The sequence below is a fragment of the Homo sapiens genome, chromosome 6, assembly GCF_000001405.40.
Source record: "Homo sapiens chromosome 6, GRCh38.p14 Primary Assembly".
Classification (NCBI taxonomy): domain Eukaryota; kingdom Metazoa; phylum Chordata; class Mammalia; order Primates; family Hominidae; genus Homo; species Homo sapiens.
The window spans coordinates 19,969,059-19,978,682 of record NC_000006.12 but is presented as its reverse complement, the minus strand read 5'-3'; the positions used below and the strand labels follow the sequence as shown (position 1 = coordinate 19,978,682).

The following is a 9,624-nucleotide window of genomic DNA, read 5'->3' as shown; positions in this document are numbered from 1 at the left end:
AAGGTGTCTATACACTGTTGGAAACCAAATGTGCATCCATGCTTCTGAGTTGTTTAAAGACACTAAAGGAAAAAAAATGGCATTTGACATTAAGTTGAGAAAGGAAAAATAGTAAAGATCCAACTTGTATTTTTCTAAACAAGCTGAAATACACTTCATTTTTGACCCAAACTTGCAGGCTAGGATTATACTTTGTTGGTTGTTTGTACTAAGTGATTATTTTCATGATTTTGAATTTCGACCTCATCTTTTGATGGGAGTTTTGAACATTTTCTGCACCCTCATCAAAAGTGATTTTAGGTTTGAAAGACTGCATTCTACAAGGATCTGCCAAACAATGACAATGAGGGTTTCTTTCATCAGGTCTCTGAGAAGGAACTTTAAGTTATAACCAATGGTAAGTTACTGCTGGAACTATTACTTGTTTCTAAAGATTAAGATCCATAATGAGTTAGAGTCTGAACATAACAGTTTCACATTCTGACCTTTTTCCTTCATGGTTGCAATTCCTTGATGTCAAATGTGAAATATTAGCAGTGTAGAAAGAGACTTTTGGGTGAAAAATGCCTTTGCTTCCAGGAAAGCTTGCTGTTTTTCCTTTTCATTCCTGTTCATTTGGGAATAGATATTAGGCCTTCTTGTTCTGTAGCTATTATTTGAGGGGGGAAAATACAAATAGAAGCCAAGAGTATATTTTAAAAATTGAAGAGCATCAAGACATCGCAGCCTGAGTTGGCCATAAAGATTTACAATTACATTTCCATCACAAAGACCCTGGCCCATCATATTTGGCCATGACCATTTATGTTTTGATTTCTATTTCTTTGGCGGGACAACACCCCAATTAGACAGATGAGTGTTCAATTCTGATTTTGGAGCGTATCCTTGCTGGCCTAGGTTACTCCGGGACTCCTGTGGCTACTCTCCACTGAACTGTGCCTTGGTAGTTATAATCCTGCTATCCATGAATTCTTAGCATATAAAAAACCATCCAGGTGAATACACTCATAGTAATTATGCCTGAATTACCTGGATAATTGACCAGAAATTCCCCTGAATTTTCTAGGTCCTTGCCTCTGAGTCCTTTTTACTCTGTGCTGTATAAATTGAGTGGTGGTGATGGGGTGGGGGGAGGGGGTGTCAGGAATTCATTCCTTAAGCCCAGCAACTAGGTCAGACTGTCTACTTTAACCTCCTGGTAGCAAGTAGTATTCTTCTTTCAAGTATCCAGAATCATCACTGGGAATTATTATTACGAAAGCTGAGTTCTTACTGTAGTTCTGATTTGCTTGGAAAAAGAACCATTCTTATTCAGAACTCATATATTGCTAATATAATATACAACTCCCCTTTTCACAATTGTACATATTTACACTGTACATAGATTCCCCGTGTATCTTCAGCAAAGGAAAAACAAAAGGAGAAATAACCAGACTTCTGCTGCTTGCAAGAAACAAAACCTGCAGTCACCAACTGGGCTGCTCCAGTATTTCAAACCATTCCAAGAAGAAGAAAAAAAAATTAAAAGTGACTCCACGGACAGATTTTCCTTTCATCAGGGTAAGAGCTGCATTTCATTACTTTAAAAATCCTCGTTCATGTAAACAACACTAAATGCTTCCTGGTCTGGATATATAAAATTATTGGATGGCCACTGCTGCCCATTCATCGCAGACCCTGATGTGCCACAGTCGATTTTTGAGAACTGCTCTGCCACTTAATGTGACAAACACCCAGCCTTGCCGTTTAAGGGATCTTTGAGAAAGGCCATCCCCACGTGAAACGAATTTAACAGCAGCAATTTGTCATCTTGCCCTTCCTTTGCTAGGGGAAAAAAATGCTAGTGATTTCTTTTGACTTAAACTGGGCATTCAAAAAGCTGTTTTTATTAATGAATCATATTAAGCCACTAGTGAAAAGCTCCCTGACTCTGTTTAAATAACAGGCTATGATTCCTCTCCCCTCAAGCTCTCCCCCCACCCCGATTTGGCTCTGCTGCTATTAATTGAGGAGTTTCTTTGTTTCTTTCCTAATGAAGCTAACAGAACACATCTGTCAGGTGCCCGTATTCTTTGCCTGTCTATAGTATGTAATAGACCAGCTGGAGGCTATAATGCTACACAATACCCCTGGCCGTTACAGCAACTATTTATTCCTGGGCTTTTCCTCCGAAAGGGATTTGAAAAAAAAAAAAAAGTCTGAAATTTGGGCCTAATTGCTATTTACCCAGCGATAGACACCTGTTCTAGCTGCGACATTGGCTCATGGATCTCACACCTGAGACCTTAGGGAGAGTAGAGGGGAAATTTCAAGCAGCTGCCAGTCCATTTAGAGATAGACAGCTTTAACTTGTGGGGTTTGCGTGTTTATATGTATACGCATATATTTTAAAATACTGTTTGTTTAGTATGTACACCCATAACCAGAGGGTATATATTAAATGCTGTGTACCATTATTTCACAGTCAATTGCTTATCTGAAGGCCGTACACATACTGGCGTACAGCTACCACTGTGATTGCTTTAAAATAATGCACTGAGACTGAATTCAGTATCAATAACAGGCACGTGTCCTTCAAAATGTCCACTCCAGGCCTTGGGGGAAAATGGTTTCTTAGGATGAATCAGAGGGAAAATTTTAATCAAACATAACTTTTCTTGGAAAGATTCGACATCGTTTCAGTCATTTCCTTTGCCAAATAGCTACGACTTCTCTCTTTGGACATGTTAAACTTATTTTTCCCTTCTGTCTTGGTCAGAGTAGCACAATCTTCTGTTTTTTTGTTTATTTTTTGAAATCAGTAATGATATTTGTCCTTGTTTCTTGGTTTGCCTTCAAATACCTCTCATATATACTCAAGAGAAACAGACTACGAGCATGATGACAGCATTCACTTCTTGCGAAAATACAAAATACAAAAACCAAAAAGTAATTAATAATGGAGACTTTATGTAACACAAGTTAATACGTTACCTAATGTTATGTTTAGTAGCAGTTTGAAATTCAAGTTTATTAAAATGTTATTAGATCACAAAAAGTACTGCCTTCATTTGTAAAAGAATAAAAGTTATTATTAGTATATACATATATGAATGTATGTGCGCGTGTGCACGTGTGTTTTCCCTGACTTTATACATTCCAGTTCCGTTGCCTCTGTTTTGCTTGAAGTATATATACTTGAAGAGAGGAGGCTGGGAATAGAGAGATTTAGCACAAGCTCACTGGCAACAAAACAGAAATAAAACATTATTGCCCTGCTATTTTGTCTGGCCTTGAATCAGAAGACAATCACACTGCAGAGGGCTAGTGGGGAGGGGGAGCTTAGGAGGTTAGATGGGGAAGAAGGAGAAAGCAGAGGCAAGGTTTTTTTTTTTTCTTGTCTTGTCTTTTATATCTTTTTTTTCCCCCAGTCAGTAGGACTTCTGAGCTTTTTGATAGATTCTCCATTGGTATTGCTAGAGCAGCCTCCCATTTACTTACTGTTTTGAGAAATTTGGCCTTTCTAAGCAAATCAAATAAACTTCATCTAATTTGCTCCCAAATAGAAAATTATTTATTATTTCTCCCAAAGGATACATGAGCCATATTCAATAGTGGTGAGAATCCACAAAATAAAATGAAAGGGGTGAAAGAAGACTTTAATAAAATGCAGAACTACAATTCATACACGAAATCAGAATGATCTGAGTGATATTAAGCATATGTGCACATATGTGTGCACGCACACACACACACACAACATGCTGGTTAAGAAATTCCCTTTAGTCCCATCTGAAGCCAGAGGTGACCGAAGAGTCAGAGCCTTAGGAGGTAGCTGGGGATGACAGGAGAGACGGACAGTACTCACATACAAATGAGTGCTTTGCCTCGGGGCTCACACAGTTGGATAGAGAGCTGATGCAGAGACAGAAATTCATTTCCCATGAGAAAGGAGAGAAGTGCACAGGGAACAGGGTCACACCAGAACAGGTGATAATGAAATTAGAGTTAATGAAGGCTGGAAGAAACCTAGAGTGGATGGGTTGGTGAAACTGTTATCTGAGATGCACACTAAAACCAGGGATGATATCTCAGTACGGGGGAAACAATGGTTGGAGATGCATGGTAGAAAAGTCCTGGGAAATATAAGAATCCTACCCTCATCTCTGAAGCAGGTCATCTCTTTGTTTCTGTGTTGCAAGATTTCGTAAGTGGATGATTCTAGGAGGCAGATTATATGACGGAGAGCCAGATAGAGAATGTCTCTGAGCCTCGGTTTCCTCTCTGGTAAAATGGGAATAATAGCACCTACCTTCTTCTTTTTCAGAAGATAAAATGGGATACTGTTTGTAGAACACCTAATACAGGAACACATAGTTGGTGTCACATATATGTTAGTTTTATTATATTTCTTTATAAGCAATTAGGTCATTATTATAAAAACACCAGTCAAGGCATTGCAAATTTGTTCATCCATGTAGTTGTCAACTGTCTAGATCCCTAATAGTGAACATGCCACATCACAAAAGAGAAATGAGCCTTAAATATGTCTGTTCTTAATACATTTTATATCTGAAGTATATTATGAAAGAAATGGATTTTGTCAGGAGCCAAGAAACTAAGTGATACACAGATAACACATAGGACAGTTGTTAAATGAGTATTTATGTTATGGCAGGGATCAGTGTTGGTCCTAGAATTAAGTGAATTTTGAGCCTGGTAGAGATACAGATTGAGATAGCTAGGCATGATTTTCCTCTCAGAGCATCCTGTTTGCATTGCCACCCTATTAAACTGCAGAGTGAGGCATTTTTGCGGCATTTGCTGAACAAATCTTTCTTTCTCTGAGCTGTGATTCATTTGCCCAGGAGTACATTTTCCTGGGCCCACAGAAGCAGTGAATGACATTGCATGTTGAAGTACTATTTGGGGCTGCTCAAAATCTTCTGGATACTTTTCTGATCTTGAATACATCCCACACTGAATCCTACCTTCTCAGGTAGATGCCGGACACGCCATCACCATACTCTGTGGGAGCTGAGGTTCAGGCATATGACCTGGGCTCTGACAATCGGACATGCACACATGAGATTTGGATGCAGTTGAAGGCATCATGAGCTCAATCTCCAGGCAAGCATAGTGGCAAAGGTGTTTGGAGGTGTTTGGGTTTTGTTGTTGTTGTTGTTGTTTCTTTGTTTTAGAGATGGGGTCCCACTATGTTGCTGAGTAGCTGGGACTATAGGCATGAGCCACTGTGCCTGGCTGTTCAGTTTTTTGGTGTTGGTACTGGCTTCCTAGCATTCGGTTCTACATGCTGTATTACCAAATGGTATTATGAGGTGTTTCAATAGCAAAGAATTTGGTGTGGTTGATTAGCTTTATGGTCTAGTTCTCTGAGTCTTCTGAAAATTCCAAGAGCTCCCTAATGCCTTTAATAAAGTCTTTGTTTACTTTCACCAGCTAGAGTGTATTCAGTTGTTTGCTATTAAAAATCTTGACTGGCTAGGTGTGGTGGCTCATGCCTGTAATCCCAGCACTTTGGGAGGTTGAGGCAAGCAGATGGCTTGAGCCCCGGAGTTTGAGACCAGCTTGGGCAGCATGGTGAAACTCAGCCTCTACAAAAATTAGCTGGGTGTGGTAGCACTTGCCTGTAGTCCCAGCTACTTGGGAGGTGGAGGTGGGATCATTGCTTGAGCCTCAGAGGTCAAGGCTGCAGTTAGCTGTGATCATGCCATTGCACTCCAGCCTAGGTGACAGAGTGAGACCCTGTCTCAAAAAAAAAAAAAAAAAAAAAAAAAAGAGGGAGAGAATCTTGACCATGGTGCATGTATTGCATGTTTTATAATGCCATGAAAAGCAACGATATTTTAGTTAAATAGTATTGTACAGGTGGTGCCTACTTCCCAAGGACCCATTCACCCCTCTGTTGGTCATTACCCTCACTTTTGGAGGGCAGGGAACATGTAGCAATTCACAGTTCTCTAGTGTAGCTGTCTGGTTGTGGGGGGAACTTAACTCTACCTTGACTCTAGAAACAGTCATGTCACTCAAGCCTATGTTAATCAGTGTGATTCTATTTGTTGGTCATTACTATAGAGCAGATATTTGGTCCAGTGAGTAGTGCAGGGGGTAGTGTTCCAGATGCTTCTGGGAAGGATCTCCTGAGGGAGTTTCCAGCAACAACTTGTTTTCTATCTATATTGAAAATGTAATTCAAGGGATTGTTTGCTGCCTTCTTTCAGCCACAGGAAGGGAGCCAGCTCCAGGATGAATATGATACAATGAAACACATAGCAGAAGGCCAGAAAGAAACTATGTACTCGATTTTATCACTGGGCCACCAAATCTACCCAACCCTTATGTCCACCCTAGATAGGGACTTTCTAGTTATGGGAAGCAACTAATACTGTTTTTGTTGTTTATCATCTTGCATTGGATTCTGTTTCTTGCAACAAATGCATCCTAAATTACCAAATCCTCTTTTTTTGTTAAAAAAAAAAAAGTGGAGCAGCATCGTGTGACTCACCGTTATTTCATGAACCATTAGGAAGGGGGAAAAAGCTGTCAATTAAACTGACACAATGTTTTTGTTACTTCCAGTTTTTTTTGTATACTTTCTGCAAAAGCTCTTTCATACACATTTAGACATTTTCGTTTGTCATTTATTGTTTCCCTGCACATAAAAGGAAAATATCAGTAAAATAAATTCGTTGAATATTCTAGAACATCTTCATATTCTCTAATTGCCCCTCCAGTTCTATATGTCTGTCTTTCTCTATCCAGCTCTGTGCCCTGGGGAGCTCACCACTGTGGGCTGCATCTTCCAAGCTCAGTGTCTTCCAGGTGCTGATTGGCTTAGCCAGTGAAAGGCACCATCAGGAGACTGGGGAATGAGAAAAGGAATATTGGAGTATTTCTCCCAGCTATGGTGCAATGTCTCTGGTAGTCACTGTAACCCTCTGGGACTACAGCTTCCCCAGTTCTTACTGAGTTCCTATTAAGATCTCCTGCCTTAATATTTTCAAAACTAGGGGTAGTAATGACTTCTCAGTGGGACCTTAGTTCTTTTATTAAAGCCTTTTTATTTGAACCCCCGATGGTGAATTCTGATCCCTGACCATTCCATGATTGGCACAGAGTCCAACTCTTCTAGATAACTTTTCTATTCAAAATCTTTATCTTCTGTGTTTTTCCCCCTTGGTCATTCCCTGCGCCATCAAGAAAATTGATGGTGTGGGATTTTTTTAAAAGAGTGATCACTGTTTACTTCAGTAATACTTTCAAGATCTAACTTTGAGCGGCAGATACCTTCCTTGGGATGACCTAATATTGCTTCCTATGTAATAATAAATCTCTTATGTTCTTACACTCATTTGTCCCATCTTTCCCATTTCTGTGGCCCTCCTCAGAGTCTTGCCTGGTAAATATTGTCTTCTAAGTAGCTTTGCCTCCAGCCTTTCCATTCTCCTGCTCATTTATGTACCATGGTCACACTCAGGCTCAAAAACCATCTAATGCAACCAAATGTGCATAGAACAAAACCTAGTTTCTTGTCTGACAATCAAGATCTTTCATAATCTCACTTCCTCCAGATATAATTGTTTTAAAAAACACAAATCTTTATTGTGCTCTAGGTATATACCAGACACTGTTCTAGGAAGATAAATATTTTCCAAGGTTAGGGCACAGCCAGATAAGCCAATAATTATACTGCATAAGAAGTGCAATATATACAACCCATATCTTGTTAGATGACACTAGTCTGGGCAGAGAAAACTGGGTAATTTAAACAAGAACAAACATCATTTTTATTTTTATTTTTTAGCTTTGGGGAAGATGGGATAGACTCTTGGGCCACCCCACCCCATCATTTTTATTTTTATTTTTTAGCTTTACTTGAGAAAGATGGCATAGACTCTTGGGCCACCCCACCTAGCTTCAAGTCCCTGTTCTCTCATTTACTTGTCATGTGACCTTGGACATGCTACCTAAACTGAGGAAGCTGCCTCAGTTTCCTCTTTTATAAAATATGGATAACAATGATAGCCATTTCATAGAGTTGTGAGAATTAAATATAGTTTAAAATATTTGTTTGGCCGGGCATGGTAGGTAGCTCACGCCTGTAATCCCAGTACTTTGGGAGGCCAACGCGGGTGGATCACAAGGTCAAGAGATTGAGACAGACAAAGACAGTCAAGAGATTGAGGCCAACATGGTGAAACCCCGTCTCTACTAAAAATACAAAAATTAGCTGGGTGTGGTGGTGCGCACCTGTAGTCCCAGCTACTCGGGAGGCTGAGGCAGGAGAATCACTTGAACCCGGGAGGCAGAGGTTGCAGTAAGCGGAGATTGCGCCACTGCACTCCAGCCTGGGCGACAGAGCAAGACTCTGTCTCAAAAAAAAAATAATAAAGTAAAATAAAATATTTGTAAAGTACTTAGCACGGTGCCTGGAATGCAGTAATTATTCAATCAAAGTTAGCTATTTTAGAAGCAATAGTATTTACTTGACTCTTCCCTGTAGCAGGACTTTGGGTTTTCCTAAAAGTCCCTGCTTCCTCATCCTGCACACACTTCTTCAAGTTCTTGAGGGGTGTCTTAACTTTTCTTTTCCTTTTGGGCTATACCCTTCTCCAGGCCATCTTAGCAGAAGGGGGTTTATTATAAAAACTCATGAGGTCTGGTGCTGGTCCTGAGAAGCTGATGGCTTTAGGGGACAGCTGCCTTCCATTTCACTCTCATGGGCCCTGGGTTCTCTACTTTTTGGCATATTTCTGCCTTTCTCTTTGTGCTCCCTGCCCTTATTTCTTTTTGTTAGATAAGCTACTGTGCTCTATCTCCACTGGAGAGAACCCAACTGATTGGTCCAGAGATTAGCCTCTCCCAATCAGGCTGACTTTCATGTGCTGTGTCTCATTAAATAGATTAATAGTCAGTCAATGAGTAGGCCCTTTGCAGGTGAGATGTCCAACCTGGTTCTGTCAGCGGCTCCCCCAGTGCAAGTTCTAGCTCAACCCTGCATCATTGGCATGGGGATGTAGGCTGGATGGCATAAACTAATCAAAGTGTTGTCCAGGCACCAGTCCTGGTTCACGAGCTATTAATAGTCTGAGTGAGAAAGCACAATGCTAATATAAGTGGTTAGAGAATGTTACAGCAATTTGACTTTGCTGAAACAGCCAAATGCATGATCAGTGGTCTTAAAAGTCTTGAATCAGGATACGGACCAGCTGGGGTGTTGTCAAACACACCTGGTAAATTGCATGCCTCACACACAGAGTACTGGTCATGGTCACATGCAGTAGGACCACAGGATGCTCTTCAGTAGATTGGAAATTGAAACCGCACAACACAAAACTGGTCCTTCACCACAGATAAATAATATGCCTTTATATCAGATGCATAGGTATAAGTATTTCGTAATGAACAGAAATGAGCATCCTGTCTGAGTAGACAAATTAGTTAAATCACCTTCTCTGGATGAGCACAGCTCTTGGGTGAGGGTATGGGGACACAGTTTAGTAAACAGCTAGCCTTGAGGATTTCAACCCCAACTTACCCTATCAGCCATGGCTTCTGTGCAGTGCACAAACCACACAGCCACATGCAGCCTCACATGGTAGCTGTGCCCATGGCCTCCTGGAC

The 9,624-nt window shown here is 40.5% G+C and overlaps 1 annotated feature.

Annotated features, from left to right (window-relative positions):
- Positions 1,401-2,757: an enhancer, noted in NCBI's record as "VISTA enhancer hs1175". NCBI's record gives its function as "enhancer in: forebrain[4/8] | nose[7/8]" and the evidence as "EXISTENCE:transgenic organism evidence [ECO:0001131][PMID:17130149]".